The sequence below is a fragment of the Homo sapiens genome, chromosome 1 (assembly GCF_000001405.40).
Source record: "Homo sapiens chromosome 1, GRCh38.p14 Primary Assembly".
Classification (NCBI taxonomy): Eukaryota; Metazoa; Chordata; class Mammalia; order Primates; family Hominidae; genus Homo; species Homo sapiens.
In genome coordinates, this window is record NC_000001.11 from 28,618,534 (window position 1) to 28,637,132 (window position 18,599).

Genomic DNA, 18,599 nt, shown 5'->3' on the forward strand with positions numbered 1-18,599 from the left:
ATTTTTTTTTTTTTTTTTTTTTTTGAGAGACAGGATCTCGCTATGTTGTGCAGCCTGCTCTTGAACTCCTGGCCTCAAGTGATTCTTCCACCTCAGCCTCCCAAAGTGCTGTACACACTCTTCCTCTCTTCTTCCTTCTTGCTTAGCTCATGGTGCCTCTTTCTGATGCTTTTCCTAGCCCATCCCAGTAAAGGTAACCACTTACTTCCTCCTTTGGCCTCTACTGTATCCTGTGTACCCTTTATCATTGTGCATATTTATATACTTCCCTGTTTCTGACTTAATAGGCTAAAAGCTCCCTGAGGGCAGCCTTCATAAAGGAAATGTCATGTTACATACGTATGCCATTAAAAAGTAATCAAAAGAAAGCCAGGCACAGTGATCTGTGCCTGTAGTCCCAGCTACTCAGCAGGCTGAGGCAGGAGGATCACTTGAGGCCAGGAGTTAGAGACTGCAGTGAGCTATGATTGTGCCACTACACTCCAGCCTGGGGAACACAGGAAGACCTCATGTCTTAAGAAACAAACAAAAAAAAGGGCCTGGCACAGTGGCTCACGCCTGTAATCCCACCACTTTGGAAGGCCGAGGTGGGAGGACTACCTGAGCCCAGGAGTTCAAAGACCAGCCTGGGCAACATGGCGAGACTGCATCTCTATTTAAAAAAAACATCTACAAAATGGCTGGGTGCAGTGGCTCATGCCTGTAATCCCAGTACTTTGGGAGACCGAGGTGAGCGGATCACGAGGTGAGAAGACTGAGACCATCCTGGCTAACACGGTGAAACCCTGTCTCTACTAAAAATGCAAAAAAAAAAATTAGCCAGGCGTGGTGGCGGGCGCCTGTAGTCCCAGCTACTTGGGAGGCTGAGGCAGGAGAATGGCGTGAACCCGGGAGGCAGAGCTTGCAGTGAGACGAGATTGCGCCACTGCACTCCAGCCTGGGCAACAGAGTGAGACTCCATCTCAAAAAAAAAAAAAAATCTAAAAAATATATAAAAAATAAATTAAGAAAAAAGAAAAAGTTAGGCACTTGACCTCCTCAGTGCCCATTTGAGTCTCTTCCAAGTGTACTTTCCTTTCTTTCCTGCTCTAAACCTTCTAGTAAAATTCCACTGAAAAAAAAAAAAAAAAAAAAAAGCCGGGTACGGTGGCTCATGCCTGTAATCCTAGCACTTTGGGAGGCTGAGGCGGGTGGATAACCTGAAGTCAGGAGTTTGAGACCAGCCTGACCAACATGGCGAAACCCTGTCTCTACTGAAAATACAAAAATTAGCTGGGCATGGTGTGGGTGCCTATAATTCCAACTATTAGGGAGGCTGAGGCAGGAGAATAGCTTGAATTGGGAGGAGGAGGTTGCAGTGAGCCAAGATTATGCCATTGCACTCCATCCTGGGTGATAGAGCGAGACTCTGTCTCAAAAAAAAAAAAGAGAGAGAGACAGACAGAGGAAAAAAAGAAAAACACCAAAAGACATACACTAAAATGCTAACCATGGCTATTTTAGGGTGGTGGCATTAGAATTATAGGCTATTTATTCTTTGTGTATTTCTGAAGTTTCTGTGATGAACACATATAACTTTTGAAATAAGGAAAAAAGAAAAAAAATTTTTTTTTTTTTTGAGACGGAATCTCGTTCTATCACCCAGGCTGGAGTGCAGTGGTGTAATCTCGGCTCACTGCAACCTCTGCCTCCCGGGTTCAGGTGATTCTTTTGCCTCAGCCTCCTGAGTAGCTGGGACTACAGGTGTGCACCACCATGCCAGGTTGATTTTTGTAATTTTAGTAGAGATGGGGTTTCAGCATATTGGCCAGGCTGGTCTCGAACTCTTGACCTTGGGTTATCGCCTGCCTTGGCCTCCCAAAGTGCTGGGATTACAGGCGTGAGCTACCGCGCACACCCAAGAAAATAATTTTTTTTTTTGCAACAGAGTCTCGCTCTGTCGCCCAGGCTGGAGTGCAGTGGCGCAATCTCTGCTCACTGCAAGCTCCACCTCCTGGGTTCACGCCATTCTCCTGCCTCAGCCTCCCGAGTAGCTGGGACTACAGGCGCCTGCCACCACGCCTGGCTAATGTTTTTGTATTTTTAGTAGAGACGGGGTTTCACCGTGTTAGCCAGGATGGTCTTGATCTGACCTCGTGATCCGCCCACCTCGGCCTCCCAAAGTGCTGGGATTACAGGCTTGAGCCACCATGCCCGGCCGAACCCAGAAATTTGAGGCTACAGTGAGCTATGATTATACCATTGCACTCTAGCCCAGGCAACAGAGCAAAACCCTTTCTCTAAAAAAAATGAATAAATATTTGTTAATGATGTCTCATATCTATCCATTCTTCTTCATTCTATCATTATCACCTAATTCGAGCCTTCACTACATGTCTTGATTTATTGCAAAAATCTTAGAATTGGTCATCCACCCAGTCTAACCCCCTTTTCTACCCATCCTGTCCCCTTACTGCCAAGTTAATCCTCTATAGGACACACTATTTTTATTATGTTACTTTTACTCCTTTATTAAATATCTGCAAAGATTGTATATTGCCTAAAAGTTCCAATGGAAATTGACTAGTACAGGTCCACTATGTTCTGCCCTACCTATACAATTTTAAATTCTGTCTTCTACAACAGACTCCATATTCAACATAGGTTGATATCCTGACTGCCCAACCCGCTCTCATTAATCTTTGCAAGTCCCTCCACTCATTCCCTTGAAATACTGGGCGAACTCATCCATTCTACACAGCCTACAAAAAACAAGTCAAAGGGATTATACTTATTTCTTGTGGCTCTGGAGGGCAGAATCAGAATTATGGGTAGAAAGAATGGAGCAGATTTTAGAATCACTGCAGAAAATTAATAATGGCAGCAATTGGATGAACTAGAAGATGGAATGACTAGAAGCAAGAGTACTTTTATCATAGGAATAATGAATCAATTTATTATTTTATTTAACAACTACATGGTTAACATGTATATAAAGCACTTATCAAAATGAAAGGAAAAAAACACCTTTCATAGGCAAGGTATTGTGTTAGTGTGTACAGATGGATGGATGGATGTATATATGCATACACACAACCACATACAATACAGTAATTAATAAACATTGTACATGATAATTTGCTAAAGAATGTTCCCAGAGGAGTATACATTCAGGACAACTTGAATCTGTGTCTCCTGAATTGGGAGTCCTCAAATTTGGCCCAAATAAACTCTCTACTTATATTAAAACAAACAAAAAAAGTTAGAAATCCAAAAGAGGGAAAAGACCTTTTCGGCTAAGAGAAAAAAGCAGCATCTGAGATGGACATCTCTTAAAGTATTACAGATTGAAATAATAGGTAAGAAGTGGCTACAGAGAAGAAAGAGTAAGAGGATGATACCTGATTGTTTTCAGGGCTAAGACGACCTCCTGCCCCAGGAGTGCCTGGTATCTTTACCACTGCAGTACTATTGGCCATGGAGCCTTGTGGAGGGGTGCTGGCTGGTTCCGGTTTTATGGATGAGAAATTGGAGAGGTTGATTAGGGCTGAGGGGCCAAACTGGTTCATAATCTGCCGAGCTTTGGACTTCAGCTCATAGAGCTTATCGAGATCCTGTTTCTTTTTGGAGCTGTGAGGACCAAGGCCAATTAACTGGAGAAGAAAAGCACAAGAATTAGCTCTAGAAGAACCTGTAATAAAGGATGAATCTTGAGAGTAAAAAGAGGCCTGGTGCAATGGCTCACAACTGTAATCCCAGCACTTTGGGAGGCCCAGGTGGTAGCATCACTTGAGCCCAGTAGTTCAAGACCAGCTTGGGCAACATAGCGAGACCTAGTCTCTACCAAGAAAAAAAAAAAAAAAAAAAAGTAAGTAAAATGAGGTCTGTTAGACTTTGAGGGTTCTTCAGTATATATGGAATGGTGACCATTTAATATCCACAGGTTAAAAATTGAGGGAATGAAGAATGTTTATTACTCTCAGCTGATATTTAGAAACCATCTCATTTCCAAATATTAAGTGAAATAGTCCACAAAATTTAAACAAGGAAGCAAGTAAATGAAATGAAGAATCTTATGTACAAAAATAAACTAGGGCCGCGTGCAGTAGCTCATGTCTGTAATCCCAGCATGTTGGGTGCCTGAAGTGGAAGGACCACTTGAGACAGGAGTTCAAGACCAGCCTGGGGAACATGGGGAAGCCCTATCTCTGTAAAAATTTAGCTGGGGCTGGGTGTGGTGGCTCAGGTCTGTAATCCCAGCACTTTGGGAGGCCAAGGCGGGTAGATCACCTGAGGTCAGGAGTTCGAGAGGAGCCTGACCAACATGGTGAAACCCCATCTCTACTAAAAATACAAAAAAATTGGCTAGGCGTAGTGGCACATGCCTATAATCCCTCCCAGCTACTGGGGAGACTGAGGCAGGACAATCACTTGAACACAGGAGACAGAGCTTGCAGTGAGCCGAGATCACGCCACTGTACTCCAGCCTGGGCAACAGAGTGAGACTCGCCCCCACCGCCCCACAAAAAAAAAAACAAAACACAAAAAACACTTAGCTGGACATGGTAGCATGTGGTCCTAGCTACTCAGGAGGCTAAGGCAGGAGGATTGCCTGAGCCCAAGAAGTTGAGGCTGCAATAAGCCATGATCACACCACTACTGCATTCCAGCCTAGGTGACAGAGTGAGACACTATCTAAAAATAAAATGAAATAAAAATAAACTAGAGGCTGGGCACAGTGGCTCATGCCTGTAATCCCAGCACTTTGGGAGGCCGAGGTGGGTGGATCACCTGAGGTCAGGAGTTTGAGACTAGCCTGACCAACATGGAGAAACCCCAACTCTACTAAAAACACAAAATTAGCCGGGCGTGGTGACACACGCCTGTAATCCCAGCTACTTGGGAGGCTAAGGCAGAAGAATTGCTTGAACTCGGGATGCAGAGGTTGACGAAACTCCATCTCAAATAATAATAAAAATAAATAAATAAATAAATAAATAAACTAGAATAAGCAAGACATTTTTGAGAACTTTGTAAAAATAGTTAAGTACTACATGCATTATTTTTAAAGTATCAAATAATGTTAAATTCAAATAAGTCATAGCACAATCACATCCTTTAAAAAAATCAGTCACAAAGCTTAAGAATACAGACTAGTTCATTCTGGCATTTCAAACATGCTTAAGTCTATGTCAGGGCTATGCCCAATAAACATAACTTTTAGCAGCTGTTAAAAGTAAACTCCTCTTTATCAAGAGCAATTTTTCTCTGAGTGTTAGCAATCTAAGTACATGCAGAGACCCTAGTCTGGAGCAGCTGAGACTCCTGAATCTTAGAGTCATGAGGCTGACTCTGTGGACGTCAGCTTGGGTGTCATCACGATCAGAAGCACATTCACCAAGTTCTGCTCACAGTAGCCTCAAACTTACTTACAGCTATCTGAGTGTCTAGATCTTTAATTACATCAGCAACAGCTGTGAGCCCGGTGAAATGAGAGGCAGCCATTTTCAAAAGCTACCTGTAAATGAACAACTGGCATCAAGCACCATCCTTGCCATGGAACCATTTTAGTTGAATGGCCTGGTACATCTTCACCAACCAGGATCCAAGCAAACTGGATGTGGAGAAATATATCTCCTTTTCCTTAGTGGGAGCCAAGACAAACATCTCCATCTCTTTCATAAGCAACTTTGAAAATTAATTAATGATGATTATGGCACATATAGACCACCTTCTTATAAAATGAATGTCTGCTGTTAGGGATAAACTAACAGCATATGGAATATTTTATTGGGCAAAATTGTGGGATATGAGCCTGCAGGAATTATATCAATGGCCTTCAGAACTTGGTAAAAGTTGGCAATATAAATGTCTACTGTATCTATCCTACTCTTGTCCCTAGTCCTGAGTTCCTCCTCACCACACTGTCTGACTTTCTAATATGAGAAATCTGGCCCGGCCCAGTGGCTCATGCCTGTAATCCCAGCACTTTGGGAGGCCAAGGCAGGCAGATCACTTGAGGTCAGGAGTTTGAGACCAGCATGGCCGACATAATGAAACCCAGTCGTTACTAAAAATACAAAAACTAGCCAGGCATGGTGGCACGTGCCTGTAATCCCAGCTACTTGGGAGGCTGAGGCAGGAGAATCACTTGAACTCAGGAGGCAGAGGTTGCAGTGAGCCGAGATCAGGCCACTGCACTCCAGCCTGGGCAACAGAGCGAGACTCTGTCTCAAAAAAAAATAAAAATAAAAAAATAAATAATAATAATAAGAAGAAATCATGTTCTCCTGGTTTACGCTTAATAAAGGCAACTAAGTATGTACTGGTTAAAAAACCAAGATTAACTAGGCTGACTTGCTGGCCAAGAACCAGCTGATGGGGACAGCAGAGTATTAGGATCACTTGTTTGTTTTAACCATATGTGGCCTCCTTCTCCCCTACCCACAAACATTACCAATAGAAGAGTCAGGATAGAAACCTTTCTTAACATGGTAATAGCTGTTCTAATATTATAAAAGCAAACTATTTTCCCAAAGCAAGTTCTATGCAAAAGCCTCATTAAGGATCATCAAACTGTATCCTCATCACTCTAGCCTCACACTGAACATACTTTATCTCTCAAAAACATTCCCACAACCTTCAAGGGACTTCCCAAATAATACTGAGTATTGCACAAAATAAGTGGAGACTTTTTATAACAGAGATTTTTGAGTAAGAATTTGTTATAACATCTAGAGACATATCTGGGTGTGGTGGTGTGCACCTATAATCCCAGCTACTCAGGAGGCTGAAGTAGGAGTACTGTTTGAGCCCAGGACTTTCAGGTCAGTCTGGGCAACATAGTGAGACACTGTCCCTTTCTCTCTTTTTTTTGAGACAAGGTCTCATTTTGTAGGACAGGCTAGAGTGTAGTGGTGTAATCATGGTTCACTGCAGACTCAAACTCGTGGACTCAAGCAATCCTCCTGTCTCAACCTCTTAAGTAGCTAGGACTACATGTGCACACCACTGCACCCAGCTAATTTTTTTTTTTTTTTTTTTTTTGAGACGGAGTCTCGCTCTTTCGCCCAGGTCGGACTGCAGTGGCACTAACTCGGCTCACTGCAAGCTCCGCCTCCTGGGTTCACGCCATTCTCCTGTCTCAGCCTCCCAAGTAGCTGGGACTACAGGCACCCACCACCACGCCCAGCTATTTTTTTGTATTTTTAGTAGAGACGGGGTTTCACCGTGTTAGCCAGGATGGTCTCGATCTCCTGACCTCATGATCCGCCTGCCTCGGCCTCCCAAAGTGCTGAGATTACAGGCGTGAGCCACCGCGCCTGGCCCCAGCTAATTTTTTTTTTTGGTAGAGATGGGATCTTGCTATGCTGCCTAGGCTGGTCTCTAACTCCTGGCCTCAAGTAATTCTCCTGCCTCAGCCTACCAGAGTGCTGGAATTATAGGCTTGGGCCACCACACTCAGCCCCGTCTCTTTTTTTTTTTTGAGACGGAGTCTCACTGTGTCCCCCAGGCTGGAGTGCAGCGGTGTGATCTCAGCTCACTGCAACCTCTGCCTTGCGGGTTCAAGCAATTCCTGCCTCAGCCTCCTGGGTAGCTGGGATTACAGGCGCACACCACCATGCCTGGCAGATTTTTGTATTTTTAGTAGAGGAGGGGTTTCACCATGTTAGTCAGGCTAGTCTCAAACTCCTGACCTCGTGATCCACCCGCCTCGGGCCTCCCATAGTGCTGGGATTACAGGTATGAACCACCGCGCCCGGCCTCAGCCTAAATTTTTTTTAGGGCTGGGCACAGTGGCTCACGCCTGTAATCCCAGCACTTTAGGAGGCCACGGCAGGTGGATCACCTGAGGTCAGGAGTTCGAGACCAGCCTGGCCAACATGATGAAACCCCATCTCTACTAAAAATACAAAAAATTAGCCAGACTTGGTGGCAGGCACCTGTAGTCCCAGCTACTTGGGAGGCTGAGGCAGGAGAATTGCTTGAACCCAGGAGGTGGAGGTTGCAGTGGGCCGAGATCATGCCACTGCGCTCCAGCCCGCGCAACAAGAGTGAAACTCTGTCTCAAAAAAAAAAAAAAAAAAGCAAATAAATAATGAAAAACTTTTTTAGGACGGTTGATGTGGCTCACGCTTGTAATCTCAGTACTTTGGGAGACCGAGGCAGGCAGAACACCTGAGATCAGGAGTTCGAGACCGGCCTGGCCACCATGGTGAAACCCCAACTCTACTAAAAATACAAAAAATTAGCCAGGTGGGGTGGCAGGTGCCTGTAATCCCAGCTACTTGGGAGGCTGAGGCAGGAGAATCACTTGAACCTGGGAGGCGGAGGTTGCAGTGAGCCAAGATCGCACCATTGCAACTCTAGCTTGGGCGACAAGGGCGAAACTCCATCTCAAAAAAAAAATTTTTTTTTTAAAGATCTGGAGACAAAAAGTATGGCCTATCTACATAGTACCAAATATGAATATTCACATATCAAATTAGGATTTTTTTTTCTTTTTTTGTTGTTTCCAGTGAAGTTGGATGAAATTAGCAAATAACCTTAAGGAATAGCTCCAACAGCAGTCACTTTAATGAAATAAGTGGAGGCTGGGTGCAGTGGCTCACGCCGGTAATCCCAGCACTGTGGGAGGCCAATGTGTGTGGATCACTTGAGGTCAGGGGTTCGAGACCAGCCTGGCCAACATGGTGAAACCCCCATCTCTACTAAAAATATAAAAATTAGCCGGGCGTGGTGGCACACGCCTGTAATCCGAGCTACTCAGGAGGCTGACACACAAGAATCACTTGAACCTGGGAGACAGAGGTTGCAGTGAGCTGAGATAAGGCCACTGCACTCCAGCCTGGGTAACAGAGTGAGACTCCGTCTCAAAGAAAAAAAAAAAAAAAAAAGAGGCCGGGCGCGGTGGCTCACGCTTGTAATCCCAGCACTTTGGGAGGCTGAGGCGGGCGGATCACAAGGTCAGGAGATCGAGACCATCCTGGCTAACACGGTGAAACCCTGTCTCTACTAAAAATACAAAAAATTAGCTGGGCGTGGTGGCGGGCACCTGCAGTCCCAGCTACTCGGGAGGCTGAGACAGGAGAATGGCGTGAACCCAGGAGGCGGAGCTTGCAGTGAGCCGAGATCGCGCCACTGCACTCCCTCAAAAAAAAAAAAAAAAAAAAAACTAAAAAAGAAGTAAGTGGAACCTCTGGAGAAGGGGAAAAATCAGTTTCTCCCTAAGAAACTCGACAAAAATTTACTGCTGTCACTGACCTTGCTGAAAAGCAAACAATACTTCTGAATTTTAAATAATTCTGACTAAGCAAACGATTTCTTCCTATAAAAACTAAACGAAACAAAAGCAGATGATAACCAGACACCCCCTGGTGCCAGACTAACACTACCCTTAGGTTCTAAACTATTTCTTGATATGGCAAGATTTTAAAACTGTAACACATTTGATGGGTGGTAATACATAGGCTTATACAACTGTCGAACTCCTCCCATTGAGCATTCAAGATCTGTGAATTTTACTGTATGTAAATTATACTACAACTAAGAACAATAACTCAAACACCCCTCCAGCTTCCCAGGAAAAACACTGTACTACTAGATATTTATCCGACAGAAAGGAAAACCTGAGCTCGAGACCAGCCTGGTCAATATGGTGAAACCCCATCTCTACTAAAAAAATGCAAAAATTAGCCAGACACGGTGCAGGGGGTGGGGGGGGGGGGGGCGCCTGTAATCCCTTGGGAGGCCAAGGCATGAGAATGGCTTGAACCCAGGAGGTGGAGGTTGCAGTGAGCCGAGATTGCGCCACTGCACTCCAGCCTGGGTGACAGAGCAAGACTCTGTCTCAAAAAAAACCCTAAAAAGCTGGTCACAAAAAAAACACATATTGTACGATTACATTTATATGAAATGTCCAGAATAGGCAAACCCATAGACAGAAAGTAGATTAGTTGTTGCCTATGGCCAGGGCATGTAGGAGAGGAATAGAGACTGGCTGCTAATGGGTATACGGTTTCTTTTACGGGATACAAAAATGATCTAAAATTACATTGTGGTGATGGTTGCCAACCCTGATTATATTAAAAAAAAAACCCACAGAATTATACACTTTAAATCAGTGATTTGTGTGAAATGTGAATGATTTAAATAAAGACTTTAAAAAAAAAAAATGAGGAGGCTCACGAAATGGTCTCCAAGAGAAATTGTTCAATGAATGAAAGCAAAACATAGAATGGGAGAATATTTTGTTATTGTTTATTGAAACACATGTATTGCCGGATGCGGTGGTTCATGCCTACAATCCCGGCACTTTGGGAGGCCAAGGCAGGCGGATCACCTGAGGTTGGGAGTTCGAGACCAGCCTGACCAACATGGAGAAACCCCCTCTCTACTAGTAATACAAAATTAACCAGGCGCGTTGGCGGGCGCCTGTAATCCCAGCTATTTGGGAGGCTGAGGCAGGAGAATCGCTTGCATGGAGAGGCAGAGGTTGCAATGAGCCAAGATTGCACCACTGCACTCTAGCTGGGGTGACAGAGCAAGACTCCGTCTCAAATAAATAAATGAATAAAACACACATACACAGACATACAGTTGTAAATTCATAAATTATTCCTGGCAAGATACATAAGAAACTGATAACAGAGGGAGGTGGGGGAATGGTGGTATCTGGGTGGCCTATGGGACCAAGAACGTCTTATTTTTCACTGTACACCCTAAATCCTGTATTATGTGCATATGTTACCTATGGAAAAAATTAAGATAAACTACTATTTGAATTTTTTTCTCTGCAGAAATAGATCATACTCACCCTTTTCTTCCTGTTTTTTGTTTCTGAGACACAGTCTCACTCTGTCACCCAGGCTGGAATACAGTGGCCATGATTTTGGCTCACTGCAACCTTGGCCTCCCGGGTTCAAGCAATTTTCCTGCCTCAGCCTGAGCATCTGGGATTACAGGCACGTACTACCACGCCTGGCTAATTTTTTTGTATTATTAGTAGAGATGGAGTTTTCCCATGTTGGCCAGGCTGGTCTCGAACTTCCAACCTCAAGTGATCCACCCACCTCGGCCTCCCATAGTGCTGGGATTACAGGCGTGAGCCACTGCAACAGGCCTTGGGTTTTTTGTTTGTTTGTTTGCAGAGATAGGTCTTGCTGTTGCCCAGGCTGGAGTGCAGTGGTGAAATCACAGCTCACTGCACCCCCAAAATCCTAGGCTCAAGCAATAATCTTGCATCAGCCTCTTGAGTAGCTGGGGCTACAAGTGCAAACCACACCTGGCTAATTTTTCTATTTTTTTTTAAAACACGGTGTCTTGCTATGTTGCCCAGGATGGCCCTGAACTCTTTGCCTCTATCAGTCTTCTCCCCTCAGCTTCCCAAATAGCTGGGGTTATATGTGCAAGGCACCGCACCCAACTCTAACCTGTTTATTTTTTAGAGATGGGTCTTACTTTGTGGCCCAGGCTGGAGTGCAGTGGTGCAATCAGAGCTCACTACAGCCTCAACCAGCTGGACTCAAGCTATCCTCCCACCTCAGCTTCCTCAGAAGCTGGAACTACAGGCATGCACCACCATGCCCAGCTCATTTTATATTTTTTATTTTTTGTAGAGAGAAAGTCTCACCATGTTGCCCAGGCTGCTCTCAAACTCTTGGGCTCAAGCGATCCTCCTGCCTCAGCCTCCCAAAGTGCTGGGATTATAGGCACAAGCCTCCATGCCCAGCCTATCTCACATTTATACAAAAATAAGTTCAGGGCCAGGTACAGTGGCTCACGCCTGTAATTTCAGCACTTTGGAGGCCGAGGCGGGCAGATCATGAGGTCAGGAGTTCGAGACCAGCCTGACCAACATGGTGAAACCCGTCTCTACTAAAAATATAAAAATTAGCTGGGCGTGGTGGCGTGCGCCTGTAATCTAAGCTACTCGAGGCTGAGGCAGGAGAATCGCTTGAACCCGGGAGGCGGAGGTTGCAGTGAGCTGAGATCACGCCACTGCACTCCAGCCTAGGTGACAGAGTGAGACGCTGTCTCAAAAAAAAAAAAATTCAAAACTGATCATATACCTAATGTAAAAATATACAACTTCTTGAAGAAAACAGGAGAAAACCTTCATGACTTCGGGTTAGTCAGAGTTCTTAGATACAATATCAAAAGCACAATCCACAAAAGAAAAGAATTGATAAAGTGGACTTAATCAAAATGTAAAACTTCTGCTCTGCAAAAGACAATAAGAAGATAAGTTGGGCCAGGCGTGGTGGCTCACACCTGTAATCCCAGAACTTTGGGAGGCCGACGTGGGCAGATCACAAGGTCAGGAGTTCCAGACCAACCTGGCCAAGATGGTGAAACCCTGTCTCTACTAAAAACACAAAAAAATTAGCAGGGCATAGTGGTGGGTGCCTATAATCCCAGCTACTCGGGAGGCTGAGGCAGAGAAGTACTTGAACCCGGGAGGCGGAGGTTGCAGTGAGCTGAGACCGTGCCACTGCACTCCATCCTGGGTGATAGAGTGAGACTCCGTCTCCAAAAAAAAAAAAAAAAAAAAAGATATGTCATAGATTAGGAGAAAATATGTATAAATCACATATCCAACAAATGACTTGTATCCAGCACATATAAAGAAATTTCAGTGCAAAGGCTTGTGGGGGAGGAAAAAATTTTTTTTTTCAAAATTCAACAATAAGAAAATAACAACCCAATTTAGAAAATGGGCAGACTCGGCCAGGCATGGTGGCTCACGCCTGTAATCCCAGCCCTTTGGGAGGCCGAGGCAGGCAGATCACCTGAGGTCAGGAGTTTGAGACCAGCCTGGCCAACATATAGTGAAGCCCCGTCTCTACTAAAAAATACAAAAACTAGCTGGGTGTGTTGGCACACACCTATAGTCCTAGCTACTTGGGAAGCTGAGGCAGGAGAATCACCGAAACCTGGGAGGCGGAGGTTACAGTGAGCTGAGATTGCACCACTGTACTCCAGCCTGGGCAACAGAACAAGACTCCTTCTCTCCAAAAAAAAAGAAAATGGGCAGACTGGGCATGATGGCTCATGCATGTAATCCCAGTACTTTGGGAGGCCAAGGCAGGAGGACTGCTTAAGCTAAGGAGTTTGAGACAAGGCTAGGTAACATAATGAGACCCTGGCTCTTTATTTATTTATTTTAAAGGGCAAAAGATCTGAGCAGACCCTTCATCAAAGATAAACAAATGGCAAATAGGCACATGAAAAGATGCTCAATATCATTTGTCACCAGGAAAATGCAAATTTTAAAAAACATGATATACCTATATAAAATAGCTAAAATTTAAAAACAAAAACAAGTGCTGGAGAGGATACAAAGGAACTGAAACCCTCATACATTGCTGGTGTGAATGTAAAATGGTATAGTTTTTCTTGAAGACAGTTTGGTAGTTTCTTCTAAAGTTAAATGTATGCTTATATGACTCAGCAATCCCACTCCTAGGTACTTACTGTAGAGAAATGAAAACTTACATTCACACAAAAATCTGTTCATAAATATTTATAGCAACATCATTCACAACTACCAAAAACCGAAAACAATCCACATGTCCTTCAAATGGTGAATAAACAAATTATGGTATATCCATTCAATGGAATACTCAGAAATAGAAAGGAAAGGCCAGGTACAGTGGCTCACATCTGCAATCCCAGCAATTTGGGAGGCCAAGGCAGGTGGATCACCTGAGGTCAGGAGTTTGAGACCAGCCTGGCCAACATGGTGAAACGCTCTCTACTAAAAATACAAAAATTAGCCTGGCATGGTGGCATGTGCCTGTAATCCCAGCTACTCGGGAGGCTGAGGCAGGAGAATCGCTTGAACCTGGGAGGCGGAGGTTGCAGTGAGCCAAGATTACGCCATTGCATCTACTCGGGAGGCTGAGGTAAGAGAATTGCTTCAACCCGGGAGGCGGAGGTTGCAGTGTGCAGAGATCGCACCATTGCACTCCAGCCTGGGCAGCAGAGTAAGACTCTGTCTCAACAATAACAACAACAAAAAAAAGACTACTGACGCATGCAACAACACAGATGAATCTCAAATGTATCATACTAAGTGAAAAAGGCAAGGCTCAAATGGCTGTATAATTCCATTTATAGGCCACTCTGGAAAAAAAAAGTTATAGGGATGGAAAACAGATCAGTGGTTGTTAAGGAGTCTGGGGCAGAGGAGCGTTTGACTACAAAGGAGCAGCATGATTAAATCTGTGGAGGTGGGGGGTGAAATTGTTCTGTATCTTGAGTGTTGTAGTGCTTACATGACAGTATATATTTGTCATATTCTATGAGTTATGACTGTACCCCATAATAATTTTATTGTATATAAATTTTAAAAAATATGTATTTTTTTGGTGGAGTTCCGCTTTGTTGCCCAAGCTGGAGTGCAATAGAACGATTTCAGCTCACTGCAACCTCCGCCTGCCAGGTACAAGCAATTCTCCTGTCTCAGCCTCCCAAGTAGCTCGGATTACAGGTATACACCACCATGCCCAGCTATTTTTTTTTTTATTTAGTACAGACGGGGTTTCACCATGTTAGACTGGTCGCGAACTCCTGACCTCAGGTGATCCACCTGCCTCGGCCTCCCAAAGTGCTGGGATTACAGGGCATGCACCTCCAAGCCCGGCCTACTTTTTTTTTTTTTTTTTTTTGAGACAGAATCTCACTCTGTTGCCCAGGCCAGAGTACAGGAGCCCAATCTTGGCTCACTGTAACCTCTGCCTCCCGGGTTCAAGCGATTCTACTGCCTCAGCCTCCAGAGTAGCTGGGATTACAGGCACGTGCCACCATGCTGGGCTAATTTTTGCATTTTTTAGTAGAGATGGCATTTCGTCATGTTGGCCAGGCTGGTCTTGAATTCCCGACCTCAGGTGATCCACCCGCCTCAGCCTCCCAAAGTGCTGGGATTACAGGCATGAGACACTGTATCCAACCGAAAATAAATTTTAAAAAGTAAAACAGGGCCAGGTGCAGTGGCTCATGCCTGTAATCCCAGCACTTTGGGAGGCTGAGGCGGGCAGATCACTTGAGGTCAGGAGTTCAAGACCAGTTTGGCTAACACGGTGAAACCCCGTCTCTACTAAAAATACAAAAATTAGCCGGGTATGTTGGCTCACACCTGTAATCCCAGCACTTTGGGAGGCCGAGGTGGGCAGATCATCTAAGGCTGGGAGTTCTAAACCAGCCTGACCAACATGGTGAAACCCCGTCTCTACTAAAAATACAAAAATTAGCTGGGCATGGTGGTGCATGCCTGTAATCCCAGCTATTCGGGAGGCTGAGGCAGGAGAATCGCTAGAATCCGGGAGGCGGAGGTTCCGGTGAGCCGAGATTGTGCCATCGCACTCCAGCCTGGGCAATGAAAGCGAAACTCCATCTCAAAAAAAAAAAAAAAAAAAAATTAGCCAGGTGTGGTGGCGCGTGCCTGTAATCCCAGCTATTCGGGAGGCTGAGGCAGGAGAATCACTTGAACCCAGGAGGTGGAGGTTGCAGTTAGCCGAGATTGCGCCACTGCAACCCAGCCTGGATGACAGAGTGAGACTGTCTCAAACAAATAAATAAAAAATAAATAAAAATCAAAAACAAAAACAGGCATTAACTGGCCGGGCACAGTGGCTCACGCCTGTAATCTCCACACTTTGGGAGGCTGAAGCAGGTGGATCACAAGGTCAGGAGTTCGAGACCATCCTGACCAACATGGTGAAACTCCGTCTCTACTAAAAATACAAAAAAATTAGCCAGGCGTGGTGGCGCTTGCCTGTAATCTCAGCTATTTAGGAGGCTGAGGCAGGACAATAGCTTGAACTCGGGAGGCAGGGGTTGCAGTAGGCCGAGATCACACCACTGCACTCCAGCTTGGGCGACAGAGCGAGACTCCATCTCAAAAAAAAAAAAAAAAAAAAACCCCACAAAAAACAGGCATTAACTGTGGGACAGTTTGAGAGAACAATAATAATTAACCCTTACTATTACCTACTATGTAGAAATTGTGTGCTATGAGTCACAAAGTAAATATGGAAAGTCCACCCCCCAGTGATTGGTTGTTGAAAATATTTAGTAATTCTATCAAAACACGATTGTATGGGTTAGAGTTCAATTTAAATAAACCCATCTAGGCAAGGTGCAGTGGCTCACGCCTGTAATCCCAACACTTTGGGAGGCCGAGGTGGGCAGATCACCTGAGGTCGGAAGTTTGAGACCAGCCCGACCAACATGCAGAAAACCCATTTCTACTAAAAATACAAAATTAGCCGGGCATGGTGGGGTATTCCTGTAATCCCAGCTACTCGGGAAGCTGAGGCAGGAGAATTGTTTGAACCCGGGAGGTGGAGGTTGCAGTGAGCCGAGATCACGCCATTGCACTCCAGCCTGGGCAACAAGAGCAAAACTCCATCTAAAAAATAAATAAGTAGGCCAGGCATGGTGGCTCATGCCTGTAATCCCAGCACTTTGGGAGGCCGAGGCAGGCGGATCACGAGGTCAGGATCGAGACCATCCTGGCTAACAGGGTGAAACCTCACCTCTACTAAAAAAAAAAATACAAAAAATTAGACAGGCATGGTGGCGGGTGCCTGTAGTCCCAGCTACTCCGGAGGCTGAAGCAGGAGAATAGCGCGAACCCGGGAGGTGGAGCTTGCAGTGAGCCGAGATCGCGCCACTGCACTCCAGCCTGGGCGACAGAGCAAGACTCCGTCTCAAATAAATAAATAAATAAATAAAAAAAACCACATCTATCCTCCCTCCTTTTTTTTTTTTTTTTTTTTTTTTTGAGATGGAGTCTCACTGTGTCGCCCAGGCTACAGTGCAGTGTCGCCCAGGCTACAGTGCAGTGGCGCAATCTTGGCTCACTGCCAGCTCCACCTCCTGGGCTCACACCATTCTCCTGTCTCAGCCTCCTGAGTAGCTGGGTCTACAGGCGCCTGCCACCACACCCGGCTAATTTTTTGTATTTTTAGTAGACATGGGGTTTCACCGTGTTAGCCAGGATGGTCTCAATCTCCTGAACTCATGATCTGCCCACCTCGGCCTCCCAAAGTGCTGGGATTACAGGCATGAGCCACTGCACCCGGCCTATCCTCCCTCCTTTTAAACTGTGGTTGACTGGCTGAGGATGACAAGCCCTAATTGCTTCCCTTTAACAACCTTGTACTTCAAACAGAAGTCTAGCTGCAACCCTATTATTGTATTGAGAGGGTCTAATTTTTCATAGGGTAGGAATTAAGGAGACCTTGGCAATAGTTGTAAGACCCTGGTATTCTCTGTGCATCTATTCCATTAACTGTTTTTTTTTTTTTAAAAAAACAAAACAAAGGTGAAGAGAAAGGGGAACAGAAGAAAAGGTAGCCTTCAAAACCTTTTTTTACCTCTGAAATGTTTAGTAATTTATTATTTAAGCAAAATACTGGAATCAAGAGGACTGGCCTGATGGCATAAAAGCCCTATACTGTGGTGCATGACTTCACTTAATGACTGGTTTTTCTACCTGGCTGTTTCTTTCCTCTCTGGCTTCTAAATGTATCTAAATGAGCTCATATTTCCCAGCCTAAATAAGCTAAAAAGGATCAATTATTTGCAGTCTGTGAGACTCGAGAGCAATAGAAATGCAAGATTTTTTTCCAGTGTGCAATTAGGATTGGTTAGTTGAGGCTCCAGCTGCTTTTGACTTATCAAAAAGGCAGTATAGGCCACATGTGGGACCCCACGTCTGTAATCCCAGAACTTTGGGAGGACAACATGGGAGGACTGTTTGAGGTTAGGAGTTGGAGACCAGCCTGGGCAACACAAAAAGATCCTGTCTCTAACAACAACAAAAGGTAGTATAGTGTATAGTACAGTGGTCAAGGATATGAACCATGGTAGCAGTATCTGGGTTTAAGTACCAACTGTGCCACTTTTCAGCTGTATTGAGCAAGCTACATAATCTCTTTATGCCTCAATTTTCTCATCTGAAAAAATTAAGTTAATAATGAAGTACAGGGTGGGCTTGGTGGCTCACACCTATAATTCTAGCAGTTTGGCAGGCTGAGCGGGAGGATCACTTGAACCTAGGAGTTTGAGACCAGCCTGGGCAACATAGTGAGATCTGGTCACTACAAATAAAAAAAAAAAAATCAAAAAATTTGCCAGGCGTGGTGGCATGCAGCTGTGGTCCCAGCTACTTGGGAGGTTAAGGCGGGAGGATCACTTGAGCCCAGGAGGTTGATACAGTAGTGAGATGTGATGGCACCACTGCACTCCAACGTGGGTGACAAAGCAAGACCCTGTCTCAGGGAAAAAAAAAAAATCAACATACTGCTCAATGCAGTGGAGCACATGTATAATCCCAGCTACTATGGGGTCTGAGGTGACGGAATGGCTTGAGCCTAGGAGTGCGAGGCTGTAGTACATTGTGATAGGCCTGTGGCTAGCCACCATGCTCCAGCCTGGAAAATAAAGCAAGACCCCATCTCTCAAAAAATACCAGTGTTTCATTTCACTCATCCTGCTGCTAACCCAACACACATATCCATGTGTGCTGGCACCATATAAGTGTTCTGTATGACTTCAGAGATTAACAGAAGAATGGTGGATTGGAAAAAAATGGTAACAAGTGGTCAGCA

General features: G+C 44.9%; 1 protein-coding gene across 5 annotated transcripts in view; it reads right to left on the minus strand.

The window, feature by feature from the left end:
* The window catches only part of TAF12 (TATA-box binding protein associated factor 12), a 45,420-nt gene that overhangs the window by 15,684 nt on the left and 11,137 nt on the right, over window positions 1–18,599 (minus strand). For 4 of the 5 annotated variants that reach the window (XM_017002186.2, NM_005644.4, XM_024449368.2 and 1 more), the window contains exon 2: window positions 3,381–3,632. In XM_017002186.2, coding sequence (XP_016857675.2) covers window positions 3,381–3,632 — 252 coding nt within the window. Of the gene's footprint in view, window positions 1–3,380; window positions 3,633–5,412; window positions 5,498–18,599 lie in introns of all 5 variants that reach the window. The other variant, NM_001410769.1, reaches the window with a different exon arrangement.